Raw genomic sequence first — 15,411 nt, 5'->3', positions numbered from 1 at the left:
GAGCCGTAGCTCCTCTATCCACCCAAGGGAGCTGGTAGCACTGGCCTTAAGAGTGTGCTGTGAGCCCGGGGGGTTGCAGCTGGGCATTGAATGATTCCTACCACCCCACAAATACCACTCTGCCCCTCCAACGGGGGCAACCCCTCATGGCCTGTCTCGGCAGCGTGGAAGTTACACTCTATTGCATCACCCCCAGGAAGATGGAGAGAGGCCCCCAGGACCTCATGAGGGTGGTTTTCTGCGTAATGAGATGCTTTGGATATTCCTAGAGGTCCGAGCCTAGGCCTCTGTCAGCACATCAGTGAATGCAGCCCTGCTGGACAAGCTCAGGAGGACTCCAGGATCCCGAGTGACACATTCCAAATCCACACAGGCAGACCGGGGCCTGCAATTACAGATGGGAGGTCCCAAGGTCCAGGCAGGGGCTCCCACATGTTCCCAGGAAAGCACCAGGCAGGGAGGGTGGTGGGCAGCAGTTCTGGGCTTTGCTCCTCGCCAGGCCCCATTTCTTCATCTGTAAAATGGGGAGAAAATATTTTCCCTTCCTAACTGCATTGGAAAGACGAGATAAGCAGCCGACTGGGGAAGGTGGAACTTCCCACTCAAGCAATATTGGGCGAAATAAGTGGGTTCAGAGACTGAGCGGTGGTGCTGGCCCCAGACACTGGTGTGGATGCAACACGTCGCAGGACTCAGCCCGTCGAACCCCTGCCTGCCGCTGCACTGATGCCCCCTTCCCCCTCACAGAGCCCTGATGCCCGGCCATCCTGATGGCGGGAGCTCCCCTAGGCCTCTACAGCCGTGGTCCAAACGAACCCTGCACTCCACACCGGGGCTCCTCACCACTGGGGCACCCTGGGCTGCCCTCGGGGCTGGCACTCGGTGGTGGGGGCCGTCCGACACCTGGTAGGATGCTGAGCCGCACCCCCGGCCTCCACCCACTAGACGTTGGTAGCATTCATTGTGACAACCAATTTATACCTAAACATTGCCAATACTGCCCCCAGTGGAGAACCAATGACTGGTAGTCTAGACTGTCCATGTCACCTTCTCTTAGTCCTTCCCCGGACTGGGACGTCTCACAACCAAGTCCTTGTCCCACCCCACTCTCTACATCCCGGCATCCAGCACCGCCCCCTGCTGAGGGCTCGGCCAATGTTTCCTGAATGAATGAGTGGCCCCTGGATGTGAGCATGGGTCACACACCTCACGGTGATTGGGTGGGGGTTTCTCATGAGTAGAGGGACCCCCACATGCCAGGGCTGCGCTGAGCAGGGACGTCAGTGACTCCCTCTGTGAAGGCGGCCACTTGAGACAGGATTCTAGGAGCCTCTGTCACACCCGGCAGTGCACAGGATGATTCAGAGAGAGGCTGTCCCAAGGCCTCCCGGCTCACTGGTCGCAGTCTTCCAGGTCCTCCCGCCACCCTCCACACAGCACCACTGCCACCCTCATCCCTGCTGGGCAGGAGAGGCGGTCGGGAGGGCAGACACAGGGCAGTGGGCGAGTCTGATCCGGGTTTTGTGAGGCCTCCCTATAAAGAAAGAATACAAACTTACAAAAACAAAATTAGGTATGACAGTGAATATTTCTTTAGGATGAGGAAAAAAAAAAGCAAACATACAAAATCCAGAAAACCAACATCGTGTTTTTACGAAGGGCCTGCTCCATCTCCATAACACTTCTTCTTGAACTTTTTGGCTGCGTACTTTTTATCTATCTCATTGTTTGAGAATTTTACATCACCTATGATAGAAGGAATAGAAACATAATTGCTCTTCCTCCAGCATGGTTGATTGAAATTTGTTTTTTCTTATTTATAATTAGAACACATAGAACAGATGACTTAACACATGTGCACACAGCTTTGCAGTACAGCTAGAGGTCTGTGTACGTTAAACAACAAGTTCTGATCAATTCTATTTACAAGATTCCTGTTTGCAAAAGGAAGCAGGCCAGGCATAGTGGCTCCCACCTGTAATGCCAGTACTTTGGGAGCCCAAGGTGGGCGGATCACTTGAGCCCAGGAGTTTAAGACCAGCCTGGCCAACATGGTGAGATCCTGTGTCTACAAAAAAAAAAAAAAAAAAAAGCTGGATGTGTAGTTCCAGCTACTTAGGAGGCTGAGGCGGAAGGATTGCTTGAGCCTGGGAGGTTGAGGCCGCAGTGAGCTGTGACTGCCCTACTGCACTGCAGCCTGGGCGACAGAGCAAGTCCCTATATCAAAAAAAAAAGAGGAAGCAGCAATGCTGGGTGCACATTTATAATTGTATACGATGCATTTATCAACAGACCATTTCTGCTCTGGCGAGGCCCTGATGAGAGCTGAATACTCTGCTTACAAAGGCACACGCCCGAGGACCGTCAGAGAGTCCACCGGGCGCTTGGGCTCTGTGTGTTTCAGACCAGCCTGGCCAACATGGTGAAATCCGCATCCATGTGCGGTGCAGAGCATGGCAGGGTGCATTCTCCTCCTCACCGTCTCTCCCAAGCACCTTCAGGTCGTGATGCCGAAGAACCCATCTATGCCCAGGTCTTAATCCATAAAGGTGCCTAACAGAGGTCAACGCTATTGAAAGGAAAGTCTAACATCGCTCTTGAAACATTCGCTAGAAATGAGAGACGTGGCAGGCCCCGCAGGGCGGCAGGGGGAAGCCGCAGGCAGACCAGGAGGCAGAAAGGAGCTAGGGAAAGGCCAAGCCACAGCCTGTGTTGGCTTCCCTGTGAAAGCCGGGCAGAGCAGGGGAGACAGCTTGGGACGGGCTGATTTGTCTGATTCTGGGTTCCGGGGCTGTCCCTTGTGGTCTGGTTCTGGGCCTGGGTTGACACTGGGCAGGGAAATATTGGCTGGGGGTACGGAAGATGAAGAAAGTGGTTTGGAGCAGGGACTCTGGGCAGCAGGGGAGGTGCTAACAGCCCTGGTCAGGAGGTTGGCCCTGTCATCATGACCGCAAGTACTCAAACGCAGGATCTAAGGAGGCACAGATCAAGGACGAAGCCAGCAGGAAGGTCAGTGGGGATGAGGGGGACTTGGGGTCTTTCTTCCTCTGCCTCCTTCCCCTTCCCACACCGGAGGGTAAATTGTGTTCTTCTGTGAAAGTCACAAGAACCCTCAGACACCCAGAGAGTTCACACACAAACACAGGAAAAGACACAAGTCGTATGACCATCTCAACAGATGCAGCCTAGTGTTTGATGACACTCACTGTCTGTTCTTAAGGAAAAGCTCAGCCCTCTGGGAAGAAAAGACCCATTGTTAAGCTGATGAAGGCCATCTATGGAAAAAGTCAGAGCTGCCAACAGAGCTAACAGGAAAATGTTGAAAGCTTTCTTTACAAGATTGGCAAGGGGGCAAAGAATCCTATTAGTGCCACTGCTATTCAATATCAGCCTGGATGTGGCAGACTGCACAGTGAGTCGGGTAAAGTTTGTGAAGAAGAAAACAAAACTGTCTTTATTCACAGATGATATGGTTGTGTATGCAGAAGAGCCTACATAATCCACAGGGAAATTCTGAGGATTCAGAGGAGTTTAGCAAAGTTGTTGGGTTCAAAATCTATAGGCAAGATTCCATTTTCTTACTATATATTAGCAACAATGTTGGAAAAATAAAATTTATAAAAAGACATAATAGCACAAAATATCAAGAATCTAAGAATAATGTGCAAGGTCACTATACAGAAATGTTATTAGTAGGCATTAAAGATGGTCTAAACAAATGGAGATACCATGTTCATGGATTAGAAGACTCAAAATGAATTCTTCCCAAATTAATTAATTTTTTCCAAATTGATTTGTAGAACTAAAGAAATTGCTATCCAAATCCTAACCAGGTTTTTGTGGAACTTAAAATACTTACTCTAAAATTTGTGTTGTTTTCGTTTTTGATTTTTTTTTTCTTTTTCTTCTTCTTCTTATATTGAGATGGGGTTTCTCTATGTTTTCCATGCTGGTCTCAAACTCCTGGGCTCAAGCCATCCACCCGCCTCAGCCTCTCAAAGTGCTTGGATTACAGGCATGAAGCACTTTATCCAGACTAAAATTTGTATGGAAATACAAATTCAATTTGACAAATATTTGGCCAGGCATGGTGGCTCATGTCTATAATCCCAGCATGTTGGGAGGCTGAGGCGGGTGGATCACTTGAGGTCAGGAGTTTGTGACCAGCCTGGCCAACATGGTGATACCCCGTCACTACTAAAAATACAAAAATTAGCCAGAAATCACTTGAACCCAGGAGGCGAAGGCTGCAGTGAGCCAAGATTGTGCCACTGTACTCCAGCCTGGTCAAGAGAGCGAGACTCCATCTCAAAAAGAAAAAATAATAAATAAAAAATATTTATTGAGCCCCTTAGTCCAGGGACTGCTTCTGGTACTTGGGATGCCTCTAAGAACCCCACCCACAAAGACCCTTCTTCGTAGACCTTAGCAGGAGAGACACACAGTAAAGAGTAAACACAATACATAAGCAAAGTACCCAGTATGGCAGGAGGTCATAACTGTTTTGCAAAAAACCAAGACTACAGAGGGGAGGGTCACCAGGACATCTAGGGGCAGAGGTGGGGTGAGAATCCAACCTTCCACACGGGCCATCTCTGCGACCCATCTCTGTGACCCCAACAAGAGGCCCCTCGCCGGCCATCCTGTTCCAGCTTCTGATGTCCTGATGTAGAAGCGGCTTCTCTGCAGCTCTGAGGTGAGAGGCCAAGCCCTCTGTGACCCCAAAAGGCCAGGGCTCCCCAAGTGTTATCCACAAACACACCTGTGGGGACTGCAGGCTCCTGCAAGGCGCCCTTGCACAGGTCTCTTGCAGAGCTTCTCCACCCACTCTCTGGGCCCTGACACAGTGGGAGGGTGTCTGTCCTTACCCCAGCCGGATGTCCCACCACACTCCTGCCTGGGGACTTCTGGCATGCAGGAGAGGCTGGACACGCAGATGCAGAGAGGCTTGCCCCAACGCCGTTGCCCGTTTTACCTTGAAGTTCGTGGTTCTTTAATTCTTGCTCCAAACTGTGAATCAACCTTTAAAATATATGATATTGAAGTTCTCCTTCAGCCTCCAGTCTTTCATCAGAGTTAAATCCAGAGATTTCACGAGCAGTAGATAAATTTGCAGTAGAGAAAAGTGCTCCAAAGGTGGGCACGCCTGGCTCCCATTTGGAGGTGTTTATAAATGCTTTTATGTAGACCCCTCCTAGATGACGAGGAATGGCCTCAGAGCAACCCTGGGAAGGATGAGGAGGGGTCTGCGGACTCCAGACGAAATTGCACAGCCGCCTACCGTGTGAGTGGAAACCCATGCTGCTTCTGCCTGGCCTCTAGGATCCGCGTTCAGGGGAAGCCGTGTCCCTGCGGTCATGAGACGTGATTGTTCAGACCAATGGATGAGGCTGAGCAGAATCATTTCATTTCCCCCGCACTTGCCAAAGGCAGGGACTTTCCTGTTTGTCCCTGCCTGATATGCAGGAAGGGCTCAGAACTACTTAAGAACAAATCAATGAACCTATGGCTTTATGGCAAATACCACAGAAACAACCTTAGAAATGGGCTGAGGAGGCTGTCTGGCCTCTAACAAATGACCTCATCTCTCTGAACCTTAATTTCCTCATCAGTAAAGTGGCAGTGCAGCCCCTCCCTCACAGGACGCTCCCTGGCAGAGTGCAGCCCTGCCGTGCAGCAGCCGGTATGACCTCTTCCTTGTGATCAGGAGGGCCCTGCTGAACTGTTTCCGCCCCGCAGGTGCCTACGAAGCCCGGGAAATGATGTGGCCTTCCTGGAGCCATGCAATGGCTTTGTTGTCACCAGGAAAAGGGCCTGTGGCACCCGCCTGGCCACTCATGTCCTAAATGAGACAGGCCCTCTTCATCGGCCTCAGTGGCTCATTGAGATGAGGACTTGGGAATTTTGCTGTTTAACAGAGCAACTGAGCACCCAGGTGGCTGCCCCAGCAGACCCTGGAGACGTTTCAGGAGACCTGGCAGGGACCCAAGCCTCTGCCACTGCACCAGGCCCTGGCCAGAGGGCTGGGCTCAGAGCCCTTTATTTTTTTATTTTTATTTTTTATTTTTTAGAGACACAGTATTGCCCTGTCTCCCAGGCTGGAGCACAGCAGTTGAAACCATACCTCACTGCAGCCTCGATCTCCCAGGCTTAAATGATTCTCCTGCCTCAGCCTCCAAGTAGCTGGGACCACAGGCATATGCCACCATGCCAGCCTTATTGTTAAATGTTTTGGGTAGATCCCATCTCCCTATGTTGCTCAGGCTGGTCTTGAACTCCTGGGCTCAAGCGTTCCTCACATCTCAGCCTCTTGAGTAGCTGAGACCACAAGTGTGTGCCACCGCACCTGGCCCCAGAGCCCCTTTTAAACTGCAACTCACAGTCTCCAAGTTAGACTCACACAGAGAAGATCTAAATATGTGTCTCCTTGAGGGAGGCTGAGGAGTGGAGGAGGATGAACTCTTACAAAACATCAACCTTTTTAAAAATGTGTTTTCAGTAATTGCTGTTCTGCGCCAAGTTTTATCCTAGTGGGAGTTTCATGTCAGAATTACTAAGTAGGAGTTCATAACAGAGAAGTTAATCGCCCTTGTGTAGGGGCGAGGCACCGAGCGATGATCTCTGTGCCCAGGTAGGTGCTTCCTGGATCCGCACAAGCACAGGAGATGGCAGGTGGGGAGTGGGTGGGGGGTTATGAAGGGCAGCCGAGGAGGGGCAGGGGGCAGGGGGAAGCAGGATCTCTGACGGTAGAAGGGAGTGGTCACTACGTCCCCAACACACCCCCTTCATGTCCCCGCTATAGCCACACACCACGGGGGAAAGGCTCCAGGCCAGCCCCCATCCCCTCAGGACCATGATGCGGGCATCTGCAGAAACGGGTGGGGGCTGTCTGGCCTGAGAGGCCTAGAGCCAGGAACAGGTGGTTTAGAGCTGCCCTCCTCCTCCAACTTCAGCCCCAACCCCCTTCCTCAGCAGCAGATCCCACCTGAGTCTCTCCTAGGCCTGTTCTGGATCCGAAGTGGGTATGAGACATTCACCATCTATTCCTTTGCTCCACCGTCACCAGAGGCTTTGTGGTACCTTATTTTTGAGAAGAGGCAACATATTCTAGGACTAGGCTGGGAACAAGGGAGAAGTTCATCATGCATCCCTCCATTTATCCATCCATCCATCCATCCATCCATCCATCATCCATTCTCCCACCTACCCACTAATTCCCCATCCAGCTACCCACTCATCCATCCATCCATTTGTCCATTCACCTACCAATCCATTTATCTATCCATCCATCCCCATCCATCCATCCATCAATCATTATCGATCCATCTATCCACTCATCCATCTATCCACCTACCAATCCATTCATTATCCATTCATTCCTGTCCATCCATCCATGTATCTACCTACCAATCCATTCATTATCCATCCACCTACCAATCCATTCATTATCCATCTACCCCATCCATCCATTCACCTACCAATTCTTACATTATCCATCCATCCCCATCCATCCATCCATCCACCCACTCATCCACCTATCAATTCATTTATTATCAATCCCTCCCCATCCATCCACCCACCCACTCATCCATTCATCATCCATCTATCCCCATCTACCCATCCACCTACCCATCCATCCATCCACCCATCCATCCATCCACCCACCCACCCACCTTTCAATTCATTCATTATCAATCCATCCCCATCCATCTACCCATCCACCCACTCATCCATTCATCATCTATTCCCATCCATCCATCCACTTACCCATCCATCCATTCACCCCATCTACCCATCCATCTATCCACCCCATCTACCCATCCATCCATCCACCCATCCACCTACCAATGCATTCATTATCCATCCATCCACCCACTCATCCACCCATCCATCCATCCACCCACCCATCCACTTACCAATTCATTCATTATCCATCCATCCCCATCCATCTATCCCCCCACTCATCCATCCATCCATTCATCATCCATCTATCTCCATCCATCCATCTGTCCCCACCCATCCACCTACCCATCTACCCACTCATCATCCATCTGCCTACCCATCCAGCCACCCATCCATTCTTCATCTGGATGGACAAATCTTCATTGAGCACCAATTCTGTGCTGGGCAACAGGAGACAGAGATGCAGGAAACACAATCTCTGCTCTCAGAGAACATGCTTTCCAGGGACAAGAAGACATGGACAGATGGACAGAAGCACCAGGTGAAGATGCTAGGACATGGCTGATCTGTGGTCCATATCCTGTTGGGGAAAACTGGGGGCCTGGGGACGTTGGTCTAATGAAGAGAAGACTTGGAGGAACTGGCATATGCTGCTGAGAATGTTTGGTGCCCACCATAATACCTGGGAGGGGGGAGGGAGGACAGAGGGGTGACCACAGTGAAAATGTGGAGGGATCAGTGGAGTGTAAGCCCAGCCATTGAAGGAATGTTTAGGTGAGGCACTGCAGAAGTCAGCTGGACACAATCAGGAGTGTAAGTGTTAAAGAAAGAGAAGAGAAACACAAAACGCAGCTTTGGGGCTGACATATCTCTGGCCGGAGGGGAGGTTATCTCGGGGCTGGCATGCCTCTGGTGAGGGAGGGGTTTGGAATGTTTCTGGTCTGAGATGTTATTTGTGGTTTTTGGTCATGCTGACCAGTGCTTGTCCAAGATGGCAATACTCCCGCTGCTGGTTGGCCACTCGGAATTGTCTTCGTGGAGAGAGAAGACTTTATGGTTATGGGCCACAATATCTAGGGTGTGGCCATGGGAGAGGAGGGCTGGGGTAGTTTTGAGGTCAAGACCATGAAAGGAGAGCAGGCCAGGGTTTTGCAGGGATCACCCCCTGGAAACGGAAATCACCAAAAGTTATAAGAAGAGGAGGAGTGCTGGAGAGCGATGCGGTCCTTGAGGGGCGAGCGGGTGTCCATCTCCAGTTACAGCACAGTCAAGGGGATGCTCAAAGTGTTGACAAAAAACAGTCAAACTCTGTAAAATATTTGAAGAGAGTTATTCTGAACCAAACCTGAGTGATCATGGCCCATGATGCAGCCCCCGGGAGGTCCTGAGAACATATGTCCAAGGTGGTCAGGGTGCAACTTCATTTTACACATTTTAGGGAGACATGAGACCTCAATCTAATACATTTAAGAAATAAATTGGTTCAGAAAAGCAAGAGAACTAGAAGGCGGGGGGTGGGTGAGGGGGGACTTCCAGGCTATAGGCAGATTTAAAAATTTTCTGGGTGACAATTTGTTGAGTTGATTTAAAGACCTGGGATCAATAGAAAGAAAATGTTTGGGTTAAGATAAAGGATTGTGGAAACCAAAGTTCTTATTTGCAGAGGAAGCCTTCAGGTGGCAGGCTTCAGAGAGAATAGACTGTAAAATATTTCTTATCAGACTAAAATGTGTTGATGTTAATGCTGGAGCGATAATCATGCAAGTCCGATCCCCACTTCCCATCATGGCCTGAACCAGTATTTCAGATTACATTATAAGAGTGCCCTGGCAGAGGAGGAGGTCCATTCAGATGGCTGGGGGGCCCTCAGAATTTTATTTTTGGTTTACAAAAAGTTTAGGATATGGGGGACGTTGCTCATGGCTGGTCAGGAGCTCGAGAGTGGAAGGGTTTGAGGGAACTGGGGATGGGGGGAAGGGGTCTGAGAAGGGGTTATACAGAGCTGTCTGGGGCAAGGGGTGGCCTGGGGGGACTCGAACTTTCCATACAGAGGGAGAAGCAGCATAATGAGCTTCATCCTGGGGTCTACAGTGGCAGACAGTGGGGAAAGCAGTGACAGGGAGTTTGCCAGCAGAGGAGGCAGCTTAGGGTGGTCTTACTCAAAGACCCTCCCTGAATGCTGGGAGCTGGGAAGGGGCTGGTTTTGCCCAAGCACATGGGGTCTCACTTGTCTTCAGGCAATGGTGGCTGCCTGAGGATAGCGGAGGCTCATTGCCCTAGGCCAAGTGGGAAAACTGCCTCACCCAGAAGGTCACACCCTCCCCCACAACCCAGTGCCTGATTGATGAGGGGAGGGAGAGGAGACACAAAATGGTCCTGGCCTCAAGGCAGGGACAGCCGTGATGTGCAGTGCTCCTGAACTCCCCTTCATCCAACCAGGCTGAAGCAGTCACAGCCTTGCTCAGCTCTCTGCACCGGCTCTCTACCCCCACTCTCCTTTCCTAGGAGCACCCCCTCCATAATCACCTCCACAGGAATTCCATCTCAGCTCTGCTTCCAGGAAACCTGACCCAAGACAGAGGTTGTTGCAAGGGCAGAGGCCACAGGCATCCACGCCAGCCTCTGTGTGTTCAGTCTGTGAGCGGCCCAGCGCTCCCCATGCACTCCTCCTTAAAGCCTACTCAACCCTGGGGTCTGCAGGCAAGTTCCTCGCGGGTGCCTTCCCTTGTCCTGGCTGCCGCTCTGCTTCCTTTGCAAGCTCCTTCTCGCACCCTTGCGCTGGCTCCCTCCAGAGGGCTCCATCCCCTGTCCACTGTGCCTTCGTGGGTGGTGCCCAGATCTCTGTCTCCTCTGCCCTGGACCCCTCTGCCCCTGACTGGCAGATCTATAGAGTTCAATGCCCCTAGAGGGCTCCACGTCCATCCCACAGGGACCCGGACTCTCATCTTCCTCCTGAGTGTGCTCTCCCCGGAGACCTGGCATTGGAATTCGCCCTGCCACCTTCTGGTCTCCCCAAGTGGAAACCTGGGCGTCAGTCTGGACGCTTGTCACCAAATTCTGTCCCTTCCACCTTCACATGGCCTCTCCATTTTCACCGCCTCGGTGTCTATCTCGTCCCGATCACCGTCGCCTCTCCTCTGGCGGAGAGCACCAGCATTCCCACTGGTCTCTGCTTTTCCTCAAACGCATCTCTGTGTAAATCTCCCCTCAGGATCACTCTGTGGCCCCCACTGCTCTGGGTGGAACCTTCTTTCCAGTGGTGTTTCAGTCCCCTGGGTCTGCCTCACTCCTCACCACCGTCTTGTGCTTCTGCACTGAGCTCCAGCCAGACCACCGGCCTGCAGCCACCTGGCGCTACCTGTTCCCGTGTGCTTCCTGCCTTTGCCTGGAGAGAATAACAATCTATAGTCCAAACTCAAGGACAAAAACAAACTGCTTTTTGGCTGTGGTGGCATGAAACCCCAATAAGTCAATGACAATGCTGCATGCTTCTGAAAGCTGGCCAGTCAGGGACAGCCCCACACTACAGAACAGGCCCAGGCAGCAAGAACCTTGTGCCCCTGAAGTCAGGCTGAACACTCTCACTTCTGAAAGCTGGACAATCCTCAATGCCAGGCTTCCCAAGAGACTTAATTTGTTTTGCTCTGAGAGATGGTCCTATAAGCACAGTTCCCCTTTGCTCTAGTAAGCAAGATACTCAGCTTCAGCACTGACCAGCCTCACAATCCGTCCTCACCAAGTGGAGGGCCCTCCCTCCGGGTTCCTCCACGGCCGTATCTGTCTCTGTTCATACACCTTCCCCTCAGCACTTAGAGACATGGGCTGGCATGGGGGGTGCTGGCGGCAGGGGTGAGAAATAAACTTTCAGCCCTAGATGAGGAGCCCAAGAGGAGAGCATGCCGTCACCTGGAGTCTCTGGTATGTGCCTGGCACCTGTACTGATTGCATTAACCACTGTGATTTTTTAAAAGATGTACTATTTTGAAATGTATAATACATATGGAGAAGTGTATGAAATATGTACAATTTAAAGATAAGGAAAAATGCATGCCTGTGTGCCCACCACCTAGTGAAGAAATACAACCTGGACACCACTTTGGAAGCCTGTCTGTGTTCACCCGTCGCATTCTCCCTCCTCCCCCAGCCCAGGTATCCTCCATCCTTTAGCCATCCCCTGACTTTCTTTAGTTTCATTGCCTGAAGTCTGAGCTACTAGGGAGGCTGAGGCAGGATAATTTCTTGAACCCAGGAGCAGAGGTTGCAGTGAGCCGAGATTGCCCCATTGCACTCCACCCTGGGTGACAGTGCGAGACTCCCTCAAAAAAAAAAAGTTTGTGGGACCAATTCCAATCGAGTCAAGGGGTCTCAATTGGCCAAGGCAGTCTCAAACTTCTGACCCAAAGTGATCTGCCTGGTTCGGCCTCCCAAAGTGCTGGGATTGTAGGCGTGAGCCACCATGCCCGGCCTCCCCTCCTTTTCATTCAGGGATTTTAAATGTTTTATTTGCTCCATCTGTTATGTATGATTGCCTTGACGATTTCAGCTTGAATTAAAATTACATATTTTTGCCTGTGTTTATTAATATTTAAACATATTAAAATAATACATGTTCATAATGAAAATGAAACATTACAAACAAATACACAGGAAAGGCAGTATTCCCCTTCCAGTTCCACTCTTGAAATAACCAGTTAACAAGATGATGAACATCTTTCCATGATGTTCTCCAAGATTCATATAATTATTTGCAATCATACAATGGCATATACAGCTCAGGTGCGGTGGCTCATGCAAGTAATCCCAGTACTTTGGGAGACTGAACTGGGTGGATCATTTGAGGTCAGGAGTTCAAGACTAGCCTGGCCAACATAGTGAATCCCCATCACTACAAAAAACACAAAAATTATCTGGGCGTGGTGGCAGACGCTTGTATTCCCAGCTACTTGGGAGGTGGAGGCATGAGAATCACTTGAACCTGGGAGATGAAGGTTACAAGGAGCCGAAATCGCATTACTTCACTCCCACCTGGGCGACAGAGTGAGATTCCATCTCAATAAATAAATAAATAAACAGAAAGAAAGAAAGAAAAAAAGATGAAAGAAACAAAGAAAAAAGGAAGAAAGAGAGAAAAAAAGACAGAGAAAGGAAGCAAGAAAGCAAGCAAGCAAGCAAGCAACCAAGCAAGCAAGCAACCAAGAAAGAAAGAAAGAAAGAAAAAAAAATAGAAAGAAAAAGAAGTCATGTGCTCAGGTTGCTAGGATCGATGGTAAGAACAAATCCTCTAGCGGTGAAAATGTAAGAAGGAAAAAGAAATTTCTGTTAGTCTTGTTTGTTGCACCCCAAGCTCTAAAAATACAGCCACATGTGTGATAAGTACTTAGTTAAGATGAAAAAGGCATTAAATTTGTGCATGGAAATCATAGACAGAAATGTGTTCTGATTGACAGCAATTGGGTCAATGATAGCATTGGATAGCCTTGGATAGCCAAGGTTCAGGCATCCACTGCGGGTCTTAGAACACATCTCCTGCAGATAAGGGAGGGCTACTATATAACGTTTCTTTCTTTTTTTCTTCAATTATAAAGCATTCTCCTTTTTCATATAACAATTTGCCATTGATATCACTTTAGGTATAAAGATATTAGGATATCTTTATAGTAGATAAAAAGCTAACTCATTATTTGTAAGAGTTAAAGTATCTTCCATTATATCAGCATATAAAATGCTAAAGTACTTTTGCCACCAAAAATAGTGCTTCTGTAAATATTCTTTTACTTATACCTTTATTAATTTTTACTTCTGCTGAAACAAATAGCGTGAGGAAACAAATGTATGTGTATAAAATGTAATATATGTATATATATTTAATATGTGTATATACACATACATACAATAACATACCCAAATTTTTGGTTGTTTTTTGAGGTGGAGTTTTGCTCCGTCACCCAGGTTGGAATGCAGTGGTGTGATTTCAGCTCACTGCAACCTCCACATCTTGGATTCAAGTGATTCTCCTGCCTCAGCCTCCTGAGTAGCTGGGAATACAGGCATCTGCCACCAAGTCCAGCTATCTTTGTCTTTTTGGTGGAGATGGGTTTTCACCATGTTGGCCAGGCTGCTCTCGAACTCCTGACCTCAAGTGGTCCACTGACCTTGCCCTCCCAAGGTGCTGGAATTACACTTGTGAGCCACCGCGCCTGGCCTAACATATACAATTTAATGTATATACAAATATAGGTTGGGTGCAGTGGCTCACTCCTGTAATCCTAGCACTTTGGGGAGCTGAGGTAGGGGATTCTTTGAACCCAGGAGTTTGAAACCAGCATGGGCATCATGGTGAAACCCTGTCTGTACAAAAAACACACAAATTAGTTGGGTGTGGTGGCACGTGCCTGTGCTCTCAGCTACTCAGGAGACTGAGGTGGGAGGATAGCTGGAGCCCAGGTGTTCGAGGCTGCAGTGAGTTGTGATCATGCCACTGCACTCCAGCATGGGTGACAGAGTGAGACCCTGTCTTAGACAAAAACAAATCAGACCAAATATAATGTTTATGCACTACACACTTGATTTCTTTCCAAAGGGTTATATAACACTAATTTCACCAGCAATATATGCGACTACTCATTTCCTACATACTCACTATCACTTGGGTGCAGTCAAGGAAACTTAGTAGGCCTGAATTGCCCAAACCTGGCATACTCCAAAGAATGGTGTGACTCTAGCCCGGCTCCTGGGAAATAACCTCTAAGTCCTTGGAATCTCCTGCCTATGTGGGAGTTAACAATGTGATTTATTGTGGGGACCTTGGACCATGCAGTGTCAGCTTGACCTTGGGAAGGGTGGAGACAGGAAACTAAGGTCATCCAAATGGGTGCTCTTGTCCATGAGACCAACCTCCAGTAAAACCCTCAACCCCAAGACTCAGGTAAGCTTCTTGTTGGGGAGTATTTTCTCTACTTTCTGCCACATATCGTTGGGTGAATTAAGCACTGTTCACATGATACCACTGGCAGAGGACAACTGGAAGCTTGTGCTTGGTTTCTCCTGGACTCTGCCCTATGCACCTTTTTCTGCTGCTGATTTTAATCTGTATCCTTTTGTTGTAATAAACTATAACTATGAGTATAACAGCTTGACTCAGTTTTGTGAGTCCTTCTAATCAATCACTGAACTTTTGGGACCCCAAAACACAATGTTGTTTCTTAATTGAATTTTCCATGTTATGTAAGAAACCTATGTGCATAATTGAAAATCCCACACTAAGAAAGAGCTCTCCATGCAGTCTACTCCCCACCCTGTTTCTCCAATAGTCCCAAGTCTACTTTCTGAATAATCAAATATTTAAATTTTCTAAACTATTTATAATCCATATATCTGAGTGCTTATCTCTGTTATATAATAGGTAGATCCTCCTCCTTCTGTTTTGTTTGTTTGTTTTTCTGAGACAGAGTCTTGCTATGTCACTCAGGCTGGAGTGCAGTGGCACAATCTTGGCTCACTGCAAGCTCCACCTCCCGGGTTCACTCCATTCTGCTGCCTCAGCCTCCCCAGCAGCTGGGACTACAGGCACCCACCGCCAGGCCTGGCTAATTTTTTTTTTTTTTTTTTTAGTAGAGACGGGGTTTCACCGTGTTAGCCAGGATGGTCTTGATCTCCTGACCTCGTGATCCGCCTGCCTCGGCCTCCCAAAGTGCTGGGATTACAGACATGAGCCACCGTGCCCGGCCC

General features: G+C 49.1%; 1 long non-coding RNA gene across 2 annotated transcripts, besides 1 other annotated feature; it reads right to left on the bottom strand.

Moving 5' to 3' along the window:
- Nucleotides 1-392: 392 nt before the first annotated feature.
- On the bottom strand, nucleotides 393-15,105 carry LOC105376063 (uncharacterized). Of its 2 annotated transcripts, XR_929668.4 has the most exons (4): nucleotides 4,869-15,105; nucleotides 1,625-1,746; nucleotides 1,207-1,534; nucleotides 393-514 (listed from the first exon to the last, which is right to left on the bottom strand). It is a non-coding gene; the product is annotated as an uncharacterized LOC105376063 (long non-coding RNA). The 2 variants fall into 2 exon arrangements; XR_929667.4 differs by lacking the exon at nucleotides 393-514 and having other exon boundaries at nucleotides 1,043-1,534.
- Nucleotides 5,299-6,298: an enhancer, noted in NCBI's record as "H3K4me1 hESC enhancer chr9:46274928-46275927 (GRCh37/hg19 assembly coordinates)". NCBI's record gives its function as "activates a minimal SCP1, AML or CMV promoter by ChIP-STARR-seq in naive H9 embryonic stem cells {active_cell/tissue: H9 hESC(naive)}" and the evidence as "EXISTENCE:reporter gene assay evidence [ECO:0000049][PMID:30033119]".
- Nucleotides 15,106-15,411: the final 306 nt, after the last annotated feature.

Source organism: Homo sapiens, chromosome 9 (genome assembly GCF_000001405.40).
Source record: "Homo sapiens chromosome 9, GRCh38.p14 Primary Assembly".
In the NCBI taxonomy this organism is placed as follows: Eukaryota; Metazoa; Chordata; class Mammalia; order Primates; family Hominidae; genus Homo; species Homo sapiens.
The sequence above is the reverse complement of the archived record's forward strand: the minus strand, read 5'-3'. Positions and strand labels throughout refer to the sequence as shown.